General features: G+C 38.8%; 1 long non-coding RNA gene across 1 annotated transcript in view; it reads right to left on the bottom strand.

Moving 5' to 3' along the window:
• Window positions 1-666: 666 nt before the first annotated feature.
• Window positions 667-20949, bottom strand: part of LINC00578 (long intergenic non-protein coding RNA 578) — a 310784-nt gene continuing 290501 nt past the window's right edge. Inside the window, exon 4 of the long non-coding RNA NR_047568.1 lies at window positions 667-1460. This is a non-coding gene — a long non-coding RNA (long intergenic non-protein coding RNA 578). The remainder of the gene's footprint in view (window positions 1461-20949) is intronic.

Raw genomic sequence — 20949 nt, 5'->3', positions numbered from 1 at the left:
TGGAGTCTGCATTAGTTTCCTGAGCTTAATTTAATGAAGGCAGATAAATGCCATTGTAATTCTGAAAATGTCTTCACTCCTTATTTATCTAGTATCAACAAAAATGAACTGTTATATATCAGTTAGTTTTACGGATGATTGATCTTTACCCTCCAAACTTAAAAATTTCTTTTTCATCTAAAACGTATTCTACATTTCCTTCACTTAATGAACACACCCTGTTTAGAATTATCACCACATTCTTTGGTCATCCAGGGCCACTGCATCAAATTTCAGCAGCTGAATGGTGCTGAACTAAATTTGTGCGCTCCAGGATGGGCTGGAGGTCCCCACACTAAATGTATGCAGACCCCTGTGCTGATCTAATTAGTGAGGTGTCTGCCTGTCACAGCCCATGCAAGAGAATTGCATGGACAGAATTACTGCTGGGCCAAGTCAATATCAGGGTTTCTCCCTGATAGTAAGAAACTATGAACCATCAGGGACAGGAGAGCGGGCAGTAGGAGAGTAAATTCTGGGACAAAACCAGACTAAGGAGCAAAAGCAGGAAGGTAAATGCAGGAAGGTCCAAAGGACAGATATAGAACCAGGTAAAGGGTGGTGGAGGTGAGAGTAACAAAAGCCAAGTGCTCATGAGTCTGGAGACCCATTTGTCTGCAGTCTGCTGCATTGCCTAGACTTTATTATTTATTTATTTATTTATTTTTGAGACAGAGTCTCACTCTGTCGCCCAGGCTGGAGTGCAGCGGTGCAATCTCAGCTCACTGCCACCTCCGCCTCCTGGGTTCAAGCGATTCTCCTGCCTCAGCTTCCAGAGTAGCTGGGATTACAGGTGTGCAGCACCACACCTGGCTAACTTTTGTTTTGTTTTTTTTTTTTTTTTTAGTAGAGATGGGGTGAAACTATGTTGGTCAGGCTGGTCTCAAACTCCTAACCTCAGGTAATCCAACCACCTCGGCCTCCCAAAGTGCTGGGATTACAGGCGTGAGCGACCGCGCCTGGTCGTGCATTGCCTAGACTTTATTGGCCCTTCTTGCACAGTCACTTCTGCTCTGGAAGCTTCTTAAAGGGTCCTTATGATTTTGGACGCTGACATTGACATTGTCTTTATCTTCATTATCTTCATCGCAGATCGTTGATTCTCCAAGTTGGGTCCTCTAGCAGTCTCCCTCAGAACTCACTGCTTCCAACCTGATGTCAACTGTGCTGGGGAATGAATGAAGGGTGCCAGGAAAACACACACACGCACACTGGCAAACAACAACACAGGCATCCCAGCTTGTGAATCAGTTGTCCTACTTTCACCTGCACTTTGAATTCAGCATGTCAGATGCTGGCTGGGCTCCAGTGTCCTCTCATACACCATGGTGCGTGTCCTTTGAGAAATTTGTTTTCCCCTCACCACACCAAAGAATGTTTCACTTGTTTATCAAGTCACAGCTGTGTTCCAGGTGGTGTTTCTGGAGGGTAAAAACAAAACAAAATTCATTCTCCACCCTACAGCTAGAGTGGTGTTTTTTCGGTTTTTTAATGCAAATCTGATTATGTAACTCCCTTTCAGCAGCATGCCATTGTCCTTAGAATAACGTTCAAAATGCTTCATTCGTCTCCGCTCACCAGCTAGGCTCAGCTAGCTAACTGTAGGTACCCAGTTCAGGCTCTCAAACCAGCCCTGCCCTCTCTCAGCCCTGCCCAGGGCCTTGACACCCACAATTCCCTCCGCCTGATGAGGCAGCTACTTCCATGCCAAAGAACAAAAATTTTTTATAAAAGCCTTCAGGTCTCAGCTTAAATGTCAGTTTCTCCAAGAAACCTTTACTGACCCTCAAAAAGACCAAATCTCTTAATTTATCCTCCCAACCCAAAACCCTTCACTCCTGTGATCACTTATTCAATGCTAGACTCTAATCTCCATGAGGATAGTGATGGGGCAGATGAAGGTTTTGTGGTGCCTGCAGCTTCTACAGTGTAGGAAGGAGACTTGTTCTTCAAGAACAATACAAAAATACCTTACTTTGTATATTTTACCAAAAAATATATAATCATGTGGATGCATCTTAAGGCATCTCCCAGAACCTTGGAAGGGGCTGTGCTAGCGAGGGGACCTGAAGCTCAGGTTTCTTCTATTTCATGAGGAATGCACCTCTGGGTGGAAACTGTATTTGAATTATTCACTGCTGTGCCCCAAGCACCTGATACATAATTTATTTAAGTGGCTATTATTGAGTAATTTTCTAATCACTGAATAAAGCAAAGTAGAAATTGTAAAATCGACATTTGTTGAATATTAAAGCAAAGTAAAAATTGTAAAATCTACATTTGTTGACTATTAAACCAGAATAGATTTACCAATAGAACCACAGTCATATGTCACTTAACTATGGGAATACATTCTGAGAAATGTGTCCTTAGGTAATTTCATTGTTGTGCAAACATCATAGAGTGTACTAACACAAATCTAGATGGTACAGCCTACATCTAGACTATATGGCATAGCCTATTGTTCCTAGGCTACAAACCTGTACAGCATGTTACTATACTGAGCACTGTAGACAACTGTAACACAACAATCGGTATTGGTGTATTCCAACATATCTACATGTAGAAAAGGTACAGTAAAAATACTGTATAAAGGATATAAAAATGGTAAACCTGTATAGGGCACTTACCATGAATGGAGCTTGCAAGACTTGAAGTTGCTCTGGGTGAATCAGCAAATGAGTGGTGAGTGAATATGATGGCCTAGGATATCACTGTACACTACTGTAGACTTTATAAACACTGCACATTTAGACTATGCTATATTTATTTTTTAATTTCTGTCTTCAATAGTAAACTAGCTTAAGCTTAGTGTAACTTTTTACTTTATAAACATCATATATTTTTAACTTTCTCACTTAGCTTAAAACACAAACACATTGTACAGCTGTACAAAAATATTTTCTTTCTATATATTTTTATTCTATAAGCTCTTTTCTATTAATTTTTTTAACTTTTTTGTTAAAAACTAAGACATAAACACACACATTAGCTTAGATCCACAGAGGGTCAGGATTATTAACACATTACTAGGTAATAGGAGCCTTTCAATTCCATTATAATCTATGGGACCACCGCGGTGTATGCATCATTGAACAAAACATTATTATGTGGCATGACTGTATGTTATCCCACTAAGAATGGAGGAAGTATAAGAGCTCCCTGAGGGTTAGGAAGACCTGGTATGAAAAGAAGATACTTGATCCTTTATCCCCAGTGAGAGAAGGTTCCTGAATAGGATAGTAAGTATGCTATGCCTGCCCTGCTTTCAAGCTGATTCTCATCTTTTCTCCTGACTCCAGGTGAAAAAAATCTGATATTCTGTAATGATGAGTTATTCATCAGGGATTCATGATGAACCTACGTTACTTGTAAAGTTGAGAATATATTTTTCTATGTTCATGTCTCTGGGAGAGGGCCCTGACATTCATCAAATTCTCAAATAATATGAGACCCCTAAAACATTAACAATTACTGCAGATTAGTTCAGAAAGGCAACCCAGAGTCAATGGAGATGTCCTAACAACTCATAGCAGGCTCATAGCTCAGCTCTACTTCTTAATTAATAAGGCTCTTCACAATTTACTTATCCTCTTGTGAGTATTACTCAAATGTGTAATGGGGCTACTACTGCTCACTTGCATGATGTCTCAGTCCATTTTGTGCTGCTATAGCAAAATCTACAGGCTGGGTAATTTATAATCAACAGACACATATTTCTCATACTTCTAGGGGCTGGGAAGACCAAGATAGAGAGACCAGACTCTGGTGAAGGTCTTCCTACTGTGTCATCCTGTGGCATAAGGGCAAACAAAGCAACGGAGAGAGAGCAAGACAAGGCTAAATTTGGCCTTTTATAATGAATCCACTCCTGTGATAACAGTGTTAATCCATTTATGAGGGATCCGCCCCACAATGCAAACACCTCCTATGAGGTCCCACCTTCCAACATCATGGCACTGGGGATCAAGTTTCCAACATAAAATCTTTGGGGAACACATTCAAACCATAGGACAAGGTGGCTGTAAAAGTACATATATATACTTATGTGTTTGTGTGTGTGTGTGTCTGTGTGTGTGTATACACACACATATTGTCTTGGCCAGTTTCTAGCTCATAGTGCACACTCAATAGATGTCTGTTCTCTTCTAAACAAATAGTTCCTCATTGCCCTAGTATAATTTCTGTACTGAAGGATAAATGATTTAAGAATAATGCATTCATTTACCCATCCATCATTTTAAGAGAATTTATTTCATATCTGCTATGTGCCAGATAGTGAGCTGCGCACTAGGAAGGGGATGGAGTAGATCACTAAAATGATTTGAAGAAATGAAAACAAATCACATAAACTGGAAAAAAATAAGAAGTAGTTTTGAAAATCTCCCACCTCAATGATTATGTATTCTCTCTTGGAGGTGAGCCTGTTGGCTGTCTACATTATTTCAAAAATATCTGAATAAAAATGGAAAAATACTGTCAGTCATGTGGCTTTTTATGCAAAGGACACCCATCATCCAAATGTCTCTGAGTATTCATGTGTTCAGTGTTATCTAGACAACCATTTTGGGGGATTTAAATTTTCATTCTTTTTTTTTTTTTCTTTCAAGACGGAGTTTCATGCTTGTTGCCCAGGCTGGAGTGCAATGGTGCGATCTCAGCTCACCGCAACCTCCGCCTCCCAGGTTCAAGTGATTCTCCTGCCTCAGCCTCCCGAGCAGCTGGGATTACAGGCATGTGCCACCACACCCAGCTAATTTTGTATTTTTAGTAGAGACGGGGTATCTCTATGTTGGTCAGGCTGGTCTCGAACTCCTGACCTCAGGTGATCCGCCTGCTTCGGCCTCCCAAAGTGCTGGGATTACAGGCGTGAGCCACCGCACCCAGCCTAAAATTTTCATTCTTAATGGAACGTCATCATTCTGGGCACACATAGGTCTGACAGTTTCATGTTACAAACCAACAAATATCCTGTCTTTGACACAAGCCAAGTGCAGCTGGTTCTTGCAAAACAAAACAACAACAACAAAAAAGTAATGAATTAAAACCAACATAAAATTAGTCTATCTCTCTCTCACTCTCTCTGTCACACACACACACACACACACACACACACACACACACACACACACACTAACCATCCTGCTGCATCTTCTACTTCCCCTGACTCCCCACAGCCAATCCCTCCATCATCCCCAGATCAGTGAGGCTTCCCCAAGTACACAAGTGCTGACCAGTGTCCCTCCTACACATCCACACACACTAAGGTTTGCAGATAAAATGCAGGATGCCCAGTTAAATTTGAATTTCAGATAAACAACAAGTAAATTTTTAATATATCTAGATATTGCATGGGACACGCTCATACTAAAATCATTCTTTGTCTATTCAAAATTTAAATTTAACTGAACATCCTGTATTTTTATTTGCTAAATCTGGCCTCATCTCCATCCCTTCCCGGAAGTATGGGCTGTGACCAAATTGTCACCACTTTCATTCCTCTGGGCCCCGGTACCATTTCCACCCTGGCACATCCCAGTTCCCAGGATGATGCATCTTCTCTGGAACCCACTCCAAATCCCTGCCCTACCAAGCCCTGCCTTTGGAACAGCACCCACTGGAATTCCCACTACCATGTTCTACAGGGCTGTTGCTACTCCTAGCTTTTCCTTGTCAGGCAGCCAGAGCCCTTGGTCACCGGTCTCCTCTCCACTGGTGACCTCTATGTCACTGAACCCCTCTCTACCTGCCCCTCCCTGTGGTGGCCCTGATTCACTACAAATAAATTTCTATACCTCCCTGATAAATCCCCAACAAGACAGCCCACTTATATTCACATTAGCCAAGATAAGGATTGGTTGCATTCATAAGCCAAAATGAACACCAGAAGGCCAAACAATGCAGTCAAGAACTTAGTCTTACTTATTTCCTAAGAAGACACATAACTAAATGGAAAAATATCTAATAAGCTAATCAATGAATTAATAGTTGCACAAAACATAATTTATCTCAGTGCCTGCAATTCAACCACATAAGCATTCATAATGTCAAAGCTTTTTTTATTTCCTCCAAATTTATCAAGGTCTTATTTAATTGCTATAAACACCTAAAGACATGAGCAAATTAACACATAAAATTGCAGATTTTAGCTGATACATATTCATGAATGTATGTTGTTATGATCAGGCAAATAATGACCCAAGACATTGATAAATTCGGTAGAAGAAAAAGAAAAACACAGCACACTGTTAGAATTCTCTGCAGATCACAGAATGGAATCTTTGATTAGACCAGCTCTAAGAGACCATTCATAATAATTATTGTATTTCCGTAATTCTTCCAGGAGAGAGATCAGCAAATGTTTAATCAGTAAGCTTTGTAAAAATACTATCCCCAAAACACTGGAAAGCTAGATCAGTGCTAAAGAATCCTGGCTTCTTGGAAGGCTAATCCAGGCCCTGTTTCTCAGAATCCATCTCACATTTCTTCCTGGCATTCTTGCTTCTCTATCTACTGCCACTCAGAAAGGACTGACAGTTTTCCAAGCATTTGTGGGAATCTCAAGTTACAGCTATTTTGCGGTCTTCAAAATGAATGTATTTTATTTAGATGGAAATATACATCATGGGTTGGCTCACCCAGAGTGGCTGCAGTGTAGTTATTTTTTAATCCCTGGCCTGCTAACCCTTCTCGTTAGAGCCCATCCATACATAGCTCCTATTCATTAAATTCTTTTGCTCTCACCCAAGCAGGCAGTACCCCTGTGAGCTGGAAACTACATTTAGTCAAAACATGCTGGACTAGTCCCGACAAAAGTATTTGAGTAAATGCCTAAGGCAGACAGTGAAACTGAGAGGTAAAGGCATGGGCTGTGACAGGCCCTGCAAACAGCTTTGGAGAAAAGGGCATCATTATGCAGCACACACAGAGGAACACTTATTCATTTCAGCTGAGCCCAAAGCAAACCTCAGAATCCTTCTCAACACAATATTTTAGTCAGTCATTTCTCGTCAAACTGAAGCATGAAGCACTTCAAAGTTATTCGCCTCCCCTGTTCAGACTGAGGTCAAAAAGGAAGTTGAGCCCCAGAATAGAAAAATAACAACCCCACGAAACAAATATGTTTTAAGTATTTACTATGTTTCAGAAACTATTGCTTATATACGTTAACTCAATTGTTCTTCACAATAAACCTATGACCTAGGAGGTGAATACATTTGTGCAACTAATACTGTCCCAGTTTGTAACTACTTGCTCAAAGTCATATAGAATGAGGTTGAAGGTCAGTATTGAAATATAGGCCTATTTCCTCAACATCATGTACTCTTAGCCATTGTGCTGACAACGGGACTACCATTAAATCGGGAGAAATTGACTGCTGCTTATATTTATGATTTCAAGGGATAATAAAAAAAAATCCTCTCTGCTCACATCTTCAAGCTCTCCTCCTGACACATATTTGTTTGCTTTAACCAGAAGAAAACAACTGGTTGAATAGAGAGCATGAAATGAGTCTCACGCTCAGTCACTGCATAGTGCTCTGGCTTTGGGTAAATAGCTTAGCCTCTCTGGGGAAGACTGTTATAAGGATATTTGCCCCACAAGATTGTGTGAGTATTAAATGAAATATGTAAAGAAACACATTTTGAAAATGGAATGAGGTGTACAAGCATTAATTACTATTATTAAAATCCAGAATTAAATAAAAGCATAAGAATTCTCCCAGAAGTATTTGCATTTAGAGAATGGTATTTACACTGAGATTCTGAGTGGAGTTGGGAGGAGAGTGGGAGATGAACACCTAGGGGTCAGTGGGAAGTGGTGTGAATGAGTCTGACAAGGCTGGAGATGGAGAGAGGAGGTGCGGGCTCCTACTTTCCATTTGTAACCAGAAATAGTGATGTGGCTAGAAGCATCATCCGCAGATACACAGGCTAGATTTGTGCACTATCTTTGTCAGAAAATTCCCAGGCTATCAGACACTTTCTAATTAGCTCTTGTAAAATACAGATGGGATAATTAGAGAGTAGTTATTATCTGAGGAGATGAAGACACAAGCAAAGGATCCTTTAGGAAGTGCTGGGAGTCCGGGAGGGAGCCGGGGCTGAGAACAAGTGTACATACTCCAGTCCTTGGGGCTTGGTCAGTGTAGACCAAGGGAGGGAAACTGTGAGTTTCCCACATCCACATGACTCATTGCCCACTAACCTCAAAGGCAGCCTATGGACTCTTATCTCCCTTTTGAGATAAAGTCAGTCCAATTCTTCTTGTAGGTCAGTCAAGCCCTCTGGGGTGAGAGGAGTTGGCCGCTGTAGTCCAGTGGCATTCCATCTCTCCCTGTAGGCACCTCTCACATTCCATGGGGTGCTTGGGTTATTTGGGCACTAACCTAGTACAAGATGTGATCATGCAACCCCTTCGAGGGCTTTTTATATTTGTCTGAATCACTCACAGAGGCTCGTCTGGTAGATGCTTCATAAGGTGACTTCAGTTGAACCAGATAGGATTGAATTGAACTGAATTTGAATCAGTTCAACTGGTTACCTTTTCTAATCCTGAATCAGGTAAGATCAGAGGAATTCTGTTTTGCTCCGGCCACTGCCTCATACCAGCCCTCTCTTCACATGCCTGATCGGTGAATGGAACACTTAGTCTGTCCAGTTTCAAGGTGCCATCTTTGATGCCACTTTTTCTTTTCCTTCTTTACCTCCCATCCACCCATTGCCAAATCCTGTTCATTTTTATCCCATGCTCACCTTGAGAAACCATTTGCTTCTCTCCATCTTTGCCACCACTGTCCTTGGCCAAGCCATCACCATCTGTCAATTGATCACTAGTGTAGCCTATTCTGTAATCTCCCTATATCTATTCTTGCCCCAACCCCTACTGCAGTCTCTACTCTAAAGCTAAAGTGATTTTATTTTTTTAAATAGAAAAAGAAAACAAATCACAACACCAGTATTATCATATTGCTCCCCTGGTAAAACCCCTAAGAGTTTCAGCACCATCATGATAAAGATAAAAGTCCTTGAAGTTGCTTATGAGCACAGCCTGGACCCTCTCTCCTGAACTGCTCACGCTGCTTTCATCACTGGATCACCATTCTCCAGGTTTCACTCAGCCATTCTGGCCTTTGGGCCATTCCCCAAACGCTCTGTGCTTCCTCATATTGCGCACATTGTCCCCTCAGCCTGAAATCTCTCCATCTGAGCCCCCACATTTCCCTACTTAATTGACCTCAGTAAAGATGGTTTTTGTTCATGCGATATCAGGTCTTACAGCTATCCTCTCTCCTAGAATATTCTTTTCTTTCTTCATCATGCATGTGACAATTTGTAGGATATACATGTGTGATTATTTTTACTGTCATTTTTTTCCCATGAAGCAACAAGCCCTCTGAAAACAGGGACCATGTCTGCTTTTTCACTGTTCTGCTTGCAGGGATCTAAAATGGGCCTGACATAGGATGCAGAACAATAGCCATTTGTTATTGAATGATAAGGGAATGGAATCCACTAGCTCTTCAAACTACAGAATGGTCACCCAGAAAGCAGGGGCATGATGGGTAGGTAAAACCCATCCAGCTCTCTCTCCACCTCCCCTCCCATATGTAGCTGACTCATATTGCCTCAGAAACTTTGGGTTTACAATGTGCAGTGATATTTCAAAGGTGGGTGACAACGCTACAGGCCATAGAGGTACTCAGAATGGCCACTGACAAGTTTTTATGGTTGTGTGGAGCATTTCAGAATAGTTCATGTTTTATAGAGCAATGTTGAGAACAATTCGTGTCACCCAGTCATTAGAATCCAGATCCTAAGGGTATGTCAGAGGCCAGTCTTTACCCATTGCATCTCCTGGCTTCCACAGGAGGCCAGAAAGGAGGTTACCTAGTTCTGTTTAAATGCCTCCTCTGATAAAGAAGGAGCTCATGATATCTGTGCCACTGTGGAACAGCTGCACTTGTTAGAAAGTTCTGACTTATGTTGCACTGATGTCTGCCTTACGGTAACCACACACATCAGCTATGGTCTGAATGTTTGTGAACCTCCAAAATTTATACCTTGAAATCCTAACTCTGAAGGTACTGATATGAGGTTGTAAGGCTTTGGGAAGGTAATTAGGTTATGAGGGCAGAACTCTAATGAATGGGCTTAGTGCCCTTATAAAAGAGACCCCAGGGAGCTGCCTTGTCCCTTCCACCATGTAAGGACACACCTAGAAGGCACCATCTATCAAACAAAAAGCAGGCCCTTACCAAATACCAAATCTGCTGGTGCCTTGATCTTGGACTTCCCAGTCCCTAGAAATATGAGAAATAAATTTCTGTTGTTTATAAGCCACTCGGTTCATGGTATTTTGTTATAGCTGCCCAAACAGACTACAACACACATATCCTCATGTTCTCGAACCCACATACCAAATATCCCAAAATGCTCTTCCACAAGACAACGCTTCAGTTATTTGAAGACCACTGGCAAGCCACATCTGAAGTCTTCTTATCTATATTTTATGCTTTTTCCAGCCTTGATTTTTTATTTATGGACCACATCTTGCTATTTTATTGCATGCATTCTTATAAGCTACCTTAAATCCTGTGTGGAATAAGGCCATATATAAATAAATTGTTGTTTCTTTTTTTTAGGCAACAACTCAAGCTCACCACTCGACATTCTTCTCACTAAGCTTACTTGATTACCTCAGTTGTATTCTCTGATCATGCTGACACTAGAATAGCATTACCTCTGAACTCGCTCTTCATCTGAGACGGTTACTGCCAAGTCTGCAGCAGGGTATCTGGGTACAGTATCTTAGGATGACTGGGTAGAGTTTGAGAAAATGACAGCAGGCCCATCACTATATTTAACAGTTTCATTTTGCAAAATAGTTATGAGTGACCTTCTCAGGCTCAGAAAACCCCTAAAAATACCCACCCCTGAGACTTGAGTTGATAGCCTGGCCTCCACATGAACTAGAACATTAAGGCCACAGAAATAAAGCTCCCTCACACCCCTCCACAAAATCCACTTTCCCTCTTCCCTCCTTCGCAGCTCCCTATCTGAACTTGCCTTTGAAAGCCATTATCTTCACTCTGTCTTAACCCGTTCATTTCCATTTTTGTGAGACCTGTTCCAAAAAGTATCCCTATTACATGAGTATTTTTTTTCTTACAGCCAGCATCTTCCCTCTACATACAAAAGGCTGAGGTCATCCCTATCCTAAAAAATGCTAATAATGAAATATTTAATATCCCACCATGCCCAAAGCTGACATCCTAACTCTTTTCAAGCCTGAATACACTCCTGGCAAGAAGCACTGCTACTTCCGTTACATAAGAGTGGATTCAGGTTTTGAAGGGCCCAAAGCTGATACAGTTGGGGGTGGGGGAGAGGAGAGGTTCTTTAAGGTAAAGAATTTAAATACATAAATTTAAAAAATAGATGCAAATGAATATTTATTTAGATAAGGAAAAGATGCAATAAAGTATCATTTTTTAAAAAATGAACGAATACCACAAACATCACAAAATCTACAAAATAATGTAATATTTTATTAACTGCCTGGCCTCTAACATCTTCCTCTGTTTTTTAGCTGCATTCTCAGTTTGCTTCTTTATTTAGCAAGGATTCAATCTTTTATCCAGTATATTTAATTAAAATATTTATACATTTATAGTTTTTAAAAGTCTTAACTTCCTATTTCATTATTGATAATAAATAAGGTTGTAGAAATTTTCTTCAATTTGCAAAATCTCTTATCAAGTTTCATATCTGAGCTGAAATATTTCAAAATATTTCAAATTGTCTTGTGCTGTGACTAATCTTAAATCTTCTTTGAACTGACAACACCCATTAACCAGTTTGTCATTGATTTCTCATGATGGTGGTATATTATGCATCTTAGGTTATCGTATCTGATAGGTGAGAATTCACATTCTGATTGGGTCTTGACAAGAACCAGATCGTCTACTTGTAGTTTTACACATCTCATGATTGGGAGAACTTTCCACATACTAGCTCTGGCTCTGTTCATTTCAAACCTTTTCTCCTCCACTACCTACATTTCTCCAAATGCCCGATGTCAAACGACATGTCCACATTGTCATCAGTGCTGGGTGAGTTGGCCCTGTGGGTGGAGGAAGAATTCCCGTGACTATTAGCAATAATTTAACTATATGTTAACTACCATATGCAAACCACACAGCAGAGACTCTTAAGCCTTAACTCTAGTTCTCTAAGCTGATGCTTGAATCCGAAGCAGGCATTCCACTTTTCATTTAGGACAGCCTGAGGAGAAAGAGTGTTCTTACCCCTCAGAGCAATTAAATCTTACATATGTAAGTTTCACAGATCACATGACTATGGGAAGGCATTGCTAGGACAAGTCCTAGGGCTCGGGAAAGATCTGGGAAGTTAAAGGGCCTGAATGGAGCCTCATTTGTTTAATGATAAATCTGCCTTGGCTGTTAAAGTATCCTCAAGAAAAATCTCCTGCTTTCTTTACCCAGATACTCATTCCTCTGTCACCTAACTTCTTGAAATTTCATTTCTCCAGTTTCTTGTAACTCAGCAGGGTCCAATTAACCACCTAACAATATGATACCTTTTTCCCAGTCTTTATTCTTCTCAAGCTCTTGGCCTTTTTTGCTGAACCAAGCTGGGTTTTTCTGCCTCTGAACTAGCACTTTCCTGACTCGTTCACCAACTGTCTCTCTCAACCTCTATCATCTCACTCTTCCATCTCCCCCACTCTCACACCTCCCCTTTGTCTCCCCTAAATGTTGATGCTTTCCCAAGTTCTGCCCTGACTCCTTCCTTCCTTCTATGGAGTGTCCTTCCTTAGAAACCTCATTCACTCACAGAATTGCATTGTCACCTCAATTTATATGCATGCTCCAGTCTCCTCCTCTTTCAAGCCAAATTCCATTGCCTGCCAACGTCTCCCTGACACTTTAATGTCTTTTCCCAAAATCAGCTCTCGCTTTGTGTTTATACTTTGTCTATTCATGATAAGAGATAGTTGTTGATTCTTCTTTCTCCCTTGACCATCACACTGGTCTTTCCCCTTTCCTATGGCACTGCCTTCTTCTAGTCATAACATGCCAATTGTACCAGCGAATATCCTACAATCTACTGCTTTCTTTACCCTTTCACCCAAATGCTTTTTTCTTCTCAGAATTGCCACATGCTTTTTGTCTTATAGCATTTATTAAATTTTGGCCTTATATTTACGTAGCAATAACTAACACTTATCAAGTGCTTACAATGTGCTAAGCGTTTTGCATTATCTCATCAGAATCTCACAACCACCCTGTTTCTTTACTGGCTACAATTACGATGATTATTATTTGTAGTTTAAATGAAGTACCTGAGCCTCATAAAAATTAGTAACTTGCTGAAGGTCACATGGTAAGTGGCAGAGCCAGAATTTAGAAGTAGCTGTCTGACTACAAATAACCATGAACTTATTCACCGATAACTAATAATAATAACAATAGCTATAAATTATTATGAACATGCCATGTGCTTTGTACACCTCATAATTACCCTATGAATTTATACTATTATCATTCCCTTTATGCCGTCCCCCTAAGGTCTTCTTGCTGGTGGTGTCAGAACTTCAATGGGAACATGCACCATTTGGCTCCAGATGCATGTCACCAGACTGCCACCCTCTGCTCTGCTGACCTCATGTCATCTTATCGTCTCGTACTTTCTACTATCCAGTGGTCTCCTCAAAGGCAGGGCCACTTCTTATTCTTTTTTTCTTACTAAAAATAATTTCAAAATTATTGTTATTATTATTATTGTTATTTGAAACAGAGTCACACTCTGTTGCCCAGGCTGGAGTGCAGTGGCGCAGTCTCAGCTCACTACAATCTCTGCCTCCTGGGTTCAAGAGATTCTCCTGCCTCAGCCTCCCAGGTAACTGGGATTACAGGCACATCCTACCATGCCTGGCTAATTTTTTGTGTTTTTAGTAGAGATGGGGTTTCACCATGTTAGCCAGGCTGATCTCGAACTCCTGGCCTCAAGTGATCTGCCCACCTCAGCCTCCCAAAGTGCTGAAATGACTGGCATGAGCCACCAGGCTCAGCCTCAAAATTATTTTTAAAATTACAAATACTAAAATCTTTTTTTCTGAACCATTTCAGAGTATGTTACCAACGTGCTGCCCTATTATTCCTCAACAATTTAGTGTAAATTTCCTCCAGACAAGGACATTCTTCTACATAACTACAATATAACCATCAAAACAAGGAAATTAACACTGATACGTCATTACCACCTACTCTCAGCCCCCATTTAATCATTGCCAATTTTTCCCAGTAACATCCTTTAGAGCACAAGGATCCAATGCAGATTTAAACATTTAGTTGTTAGTGTCTTCTGTCTCCTTTGGTCCGAAATAATTCCTCAGTCTTCCCTTATCATCGATGACCTTGACACTTTTGAATGTAGAAGGCCAGTTATTTGTAGACTGTACCTCGATTTGAGTTTGTCTGATGTTTTGTCATAATTAGATTCAGGTTATATGTCGTTGGCAGGAATCTCTCAGAATGATGCTCAGTTCTTCCATGTCTTCCAATCAAATGGTCACAATTGCTTTTTGTCTCTTTTCTGGTAAGTTAACTGTGATAATTAGATTAAGATGTTATCTGCCTGGTTTCTCCAGTTTCTCCTTTTTTTCCTTAGCATATAAATATTTCACAAAATGTACCTCTTTTAGACTATGTAAATATCTTATCATCAAACTTCCACCCACTTAGTTTTAATACCCATAGATGTTTCTTGGTTTAATTATTATGGCTGCTAAATGGTGATTTTCTACTGCAATTATTCCTTCTATATTTATTAATCCAGCATTCACTTCTCCCGAGTTATTTATCCAATAATTTATTTACAGTAGTATGAACTCATGAACTCTGTTTTGTTGAATAGATTATAATTCTTTGCTAACATTTTCTACTTAGAAGCTCAACTTATTCCAGATTTGTGTGAGCCCCTTCAAAGAGGCTTCTGTGTTCCCATCACCTTTTGAGTACTTCCTTACATCCTGGGACACAAAGATTTTCCACGCTTCTCTTGCACTTTCCCTAGCCCAGTCCTGGCATTATCCATTTCTCCAAACCACCATGGTTGCATTTAGTAGAGAATGGTGTTTAGGAATCAAGGTCTGGCCTCTATGTGTGCTCATCATGATTACGATGTCGCTGCTGTAGGGCTTTTTGAGCAGTCAAAGCTAGGAAGTGTGTGTGTGTGTGTGTGTGTGTGTGTGTGTTTGTGTATGCACACACACATATATTTAGACCTATATTTATTTATATTTATATATGTACACATTAATTAGACCTATATTTAGATACACACACATATTTAGATCTATAATTATTTCTCTATGCCTATCTATCTCTCTATTCCTCCTCAAAACAATGACGTTTTACCAGTACCCCAATTCTGATCTAATATCACTTGGTTCTTTCATTTTTCTCCTTTTCCAAATGTATAACTCTCTCCTTAAATAGCGTGAAATCTGGCTCCCATTATCTTATTTACTTATTGGGTCAATATCCCAATACATACATCCAATCTCCTGTCACTGCCACAGTTTCCCATCCCACATGGATGTCCTACCCACCCTACTCAGGCTCAGATTTCTCATGCCAGCCTTTCCCCACCATCAACTCCCCAACCTCACCTTCCAATACAGAAGCCAGTCTTTTCTCAGCCCTACCTAATAGCCTCTGGACTAAAATACTAAGGAAGCTTACTAATTTCATAATGGACTAGGATGTCCTTTGTCCACTGGGCACTCAGTTTTTTAATAGAACAAAACAAACGCTTGTCTGTATGTTTTTTAAAGATGAAAAATAGTCTTTATTAAGAAAATAACACAGCGTATACTTTCTTATTATAAAAAGATAATGCCTAAATAAATGCAAAAATGAAATAAATAGTAATTTCCCATTAAGAAGCCTAAATTTAACTTTTAAAATCATAAAAGGTCATCATTTTTCCTCTATATCTGGCCTGCCCCAGTATTCGTGAGAGTTTCTGACCTTCATTTTCTTCCAATCTGCTAGCAAGAAAAAATGTTTTAAATTACTTTTCAAAAATGTCCTTGTCACTTCATGAATTGAAACTGATTGCTCTTAGTTTCTCTCTAACCAGGCCATCTAAAGTCTATTGCTGTGACACATGATTGTGAACTGGTCTCTCCAAACAGAGACTCCACCGTCTGATGAGGATCCATCTCTTCCAGTCCATCCATTAAGAACTCCTCCCTCTGAGAACATGGTCCTTCCAAGTTTCCTTTTCTAATGTTTCAAAACTATTAACACATTATACAGGAGCTTATAAAGGTCTTTTCATGAATATTATATTTCAGTTATTGATTTGTTTTCCAATTACGGTGCACACAGATGTGATGTGGTTATAAAATAAATAAATGTGTGGCTTATGAAAATATGTTTTATTCTTTTCATAGTTTACTGTAAATATATGAGAAATAAATATATTTTAAAGAAAATTTGTTCTTTGGGGTTTCCAGAGAAATTAAAGGGTATGGCCACCAGCAAACAAAAGTACAACATTCATAATTTTTAGGCTTCAGTTAAAACTTCTAGGGACATCTGTGAAGGCCTGTAGTGGAAATTTCAGTTGACTATTGGATAACTTCTACCATGACACTTTAGGCCCCCAACTCACCAATATTCTGGTAAGACGAGAGTCCAGTTTCTAGTGCGATCATCCATAGATTGTCTGATGATAATAATTCACGTATAATATTACACGTATTCTTTATAAGAGCCCTTTAAGGTAGACGAGACAAGAGCTATCAAGTGACTGCACAAGCTCACACATATGCTAGGTAGCAGAACTAAAATGCAATCTCAGGTCTTCATTCATACCACACATGACGCTCTCTCTCAAGACTAGATTATATTTTTAATAGGTTTCTGATTCCTCAATCACATCTTCTTATGTGGTGCATCCAAACTCCCTTCTACCTAATGAGGTAGATAAATCAAGCCAATCAAATCTAAACTCATGGGAAAAACGCCTTCTGAAAAGATGTTTTCTTTAAGATAACTGGCTTTTAAAAGAAAAATTTCCCTTCAAATTACAGAGCAAAGTATCTAAAGAAATTCCCAACCAGATTATATAACTGACAAAGTAGAGTGAATTTTTTTTCTTCTGGACTATCATTTTTATATGAAGACAGGACAGTAAATTCCATGCATAAACTATTTTTCAAAGATGATGTGCTATAGCCATGAGAATATAGGATGAAAAAAGTGAATCAGTTACTTGGTGGTTATCACAAAGCCTCAAAATCAACATTTCAGTTTCTGATGCATCTGCTGCTTTCACCTACTGAAAATGCAAAGAATTCTACTACTATAAGAAATATTTATTATTTTTATAATTATAAAGTTAATATATGTTTATCATTCTTAAAGTGCAGAAAGATATAAAGAAGAAAATTAGAATTACAATTAGAATCACCACCAAGCAATAATGACTGGTTTCACTTAAAAATTTCCTTTCCTGCATTTGCACGTCTGGTTTTGTTTTTACAAAACTGGGAATGTATAGTAGAGTTTTGTTTTCCATTTTCTTTCTCATTTATATAAATAGCATTTTCCCATGACACTAAACTCTGTAATGGGGCATTGGTGGATGAATAATGGCCTATGGAATGTACCCTAATTTATTTAACCATAATTTATTTAACTCTGTTATTAGAAATGTTGACATTTTTATTTTCACTATTAAAAACAGCAATACAATAAACACTTTTGCATGTAAATCTTTCTCGAAAACTTTGAATATATTCCTAGAAGTAAAATTATTACATCAAAAGGCATGAACTCTTTTAAGAATGAGTTCATAACACTGTTACATGCATTTCCAGGAAAATCATACCCATTTACCCTTCAAGGAACAGATTATCCAAAAACCCTTGGGAGCATTTAATATTTTAACATTGTTTCATCAATTTGCTGGTTTAAAAATAAAATTGTATTGTTGTTTTAATTTTCATGTACTTTACTATTAATAAAACTGAAGGATTTTTGCACATGTAAGTTTCACATATATGAATATATTCACCTGTGTGCTTTATGTTTGTGTGTGTTTCCTTCTGTCTTATGCCTATTTTTCTACTGATATATTCACATTATTATTTTTAGATATGTATTTTAAATATATTTTCAAATATTAATAAAGACACTATTTTATATACTAAACAGAGCCCTTGACATATTACTAATAATGTTATTAACATTACTTACCACTTTGTCGTGTGCTTTTAATTTTTATACCATCAAATCTTTAAGGTTCCACTAGGTATTCAGAGCTCATAGTGTTTAAAACATGTCATTGCACATTTGCGTAAATAGAATAATTTTTCTATCAATCAGTTCATTTGTGGCTGCAGAATAGCCATTAAACCAAGCTGCTTTGAGAGCCCAACACCCCATATTCAGCAGTCTCCACTGGCAGTTTTGGAGAGTAGTGAATTATACAAAAATACACTTCCAAAACTCAGCCTTTCATAACCATTTTCAGTGGAGCTTTGAACTGACCCAGGGCCCTTTGGGAACTATGTTTCTCTCCAGACATAACATTATTTCCTGGTTATAGAACTAAATCTTATCAAAAGCACCTCAAGACTCTTCTAGGGGACATCAAATACCCATTGCCAAATAACATTTTGATGAGTTAAGTGTAAATGAATGTGAAACATATGGACTATATTTCCTCTAAATAAACAAGAATATAAAATGGAAAGGTGCTTAGCCAAGTAGATTTGGGACTGTTTGGGAAGAAAAATGAGTTTAATTCAAGCCTAAAATATAATCCGTGTATCAACTGTATATATGATCTCAAAATAAGTTGGGTCTGTGCTGGCCACAGGTATCAATAACCCCTGAGAGAAGATAGGAATTCCAAGGGTATTTCTCTTCAACCTATATTCTAAGTCCCTTTGTGGCAATATTTTTTAAAAGAGGGAAGAATACATAAAGTATATTACTTTTCCTTTCATTTCAGTTCTGCCACTGTGAAATATTAAGATTCACATCAAGCCAGATGAGTCCTCCATACCACTCCAAGCTGAGCCAGCCCAAATAAGTGTAGGAGAGACTGACACCTGTGGCACAGAATTACCTTCGAGGAATCAAGCTGCTCTTAGCCAAAACTGCCATCTGTCCACAGTGAAATCTGTCAATTGTGGCTATTTATGAAATCGCTAGTTGAGCCTATAAATGGCTTTATCTTACCTTACCTATTCTCTTATCCAAAATTTTACAGAGCTGTACACTCATTTTTCTAAAAGGAGACAAGTGTAGAATAGTCACTGGCCATATTAATGAAATGTAGAGTGTTGTGATACAAAGTGAAAGGAGGTTGGGCTTTGGAATTAAGCAATCTAGGAGTCAAATCCTGCTGCCATTTGCTGTGTGATCATTGGATATGTTATTAACATCTCTGCTTCAATTCGTTTATTCTGTGAAATGGGAACAGTGATATCTCTCCTGCCACATTCACTGATGGTGAGAAAGAGTTATGAAGAAAATAAACATGAAGATGTCTGACCACCCAAAGCAATCACTTAGTATATGACGCTTTCAAGGGCCTTTCTTGGAATTTTCCAAGTCACAAAGTGCTGTACATGGGATTGCTGAGGGGAATGGGGTCTGGGTTGCAGATTAGGTTAAAGTTGTTGTGGGAATGTTGAGCTTTCATTTTATTTTTCAGGAGAAATCTACATTCCTTTAACATCATACCATCCATGTTTGCATAAAACTAGGATACTCAAATGATACGTTGCCTGATTTTTAAACTTAACATTGTTGTGTGGAATTACACAGAAATAAACAGAAAACCACAGATGGAGAAAATTCCAGTTTAACAAGGAGGTCCTCTGCCAGTTCCAAAAATGTTAACAAGTATTTCCTAAACAGGATTGGTCTCAGGCTCCCTCTTTCAGCCAGCATACTGTGCAAGAGATTACTAGGGAAAGCAAACCAGCTTTCATCTCCAATAGACTATGTTTTTGCCAACCCCCACTTCTTAAAACTCAAATACCATATGTCATTTCTGTCATCATTATTATCTTAAGAGTGTCCACAAGGTCACTGATGACATAAAATGAATAGACCCCAAATGTCTCTTTCAAAACCAAGGCAGAAAGGGTAAGGGAGCAACTTAAGACAGGAATCTTTATCCCAAGACTTTCTCTAGAAAGAGAAATATCACCTATCACTGAAGTGTGAAGACCTCCATAAAACGTTGGAGCATTTGAAAATATTATTATGTCTTAAGTCTATGGCTAATTTGTCTTAGAATTTTAATATATTTTTAATATCTTTACACCTCAATGCTTAAAGGATTATTTCATCAGCTTTACCAGGCTTCAGAGCAAATGAAACCCAAATCATGATCAGTTTTCAACTTATTCCTTTCTCATAGCTTAACAACTGACCATTACACATGAAACCAGAGACTACGTATTTTCTAAAACAATGTCATATCCAAGTATCACGTTTCCTTTTTTCCAACAAGTTTATTTCTCCATTCGTAAGTATACATGGTATACTCTACTTTGCAAGTTAAGAGTACAAGCTTTGGAGTCAGAGAGAGAGAATGGAATGATCTCCTAGATTTGCTATGAATCATTTGCGTGACTTTGGGGAAGTGAGCTACCTTTTCTGAGCCTCAGTCCCCATATTTATAAATTGGGCTGAGTAGCATTACCTTCGGCTTAGAAAACATAGTCACAATAATTATTCCCTACCCAAAAACAGGTGAGCTATGTTCCACATAGGCAGAGGTAAAAGTCCACAATGTATTGAATATTTATGCAAAAATCTTATTATTCTCCTTGGATTTTTCCTTAAAC

The sequence above is a fragment of the Homo sapiens genome, chromosome 3 (genome assembly GCF_000001405.40).
Source record: "Homo sapiens chromosome 3, GRCh38.p14 Primary Assembly".
Taxonomy (NCBI): Eukaryota; Metazoa; Chordata; class Mammalia; order Primates; family Hominidae; genus Homo; species Homo sapiens.
Note: the sequence above shows the minus strand (reverse complement) of the source record. Positions and strands in the feature narration are given on the sequence as shown.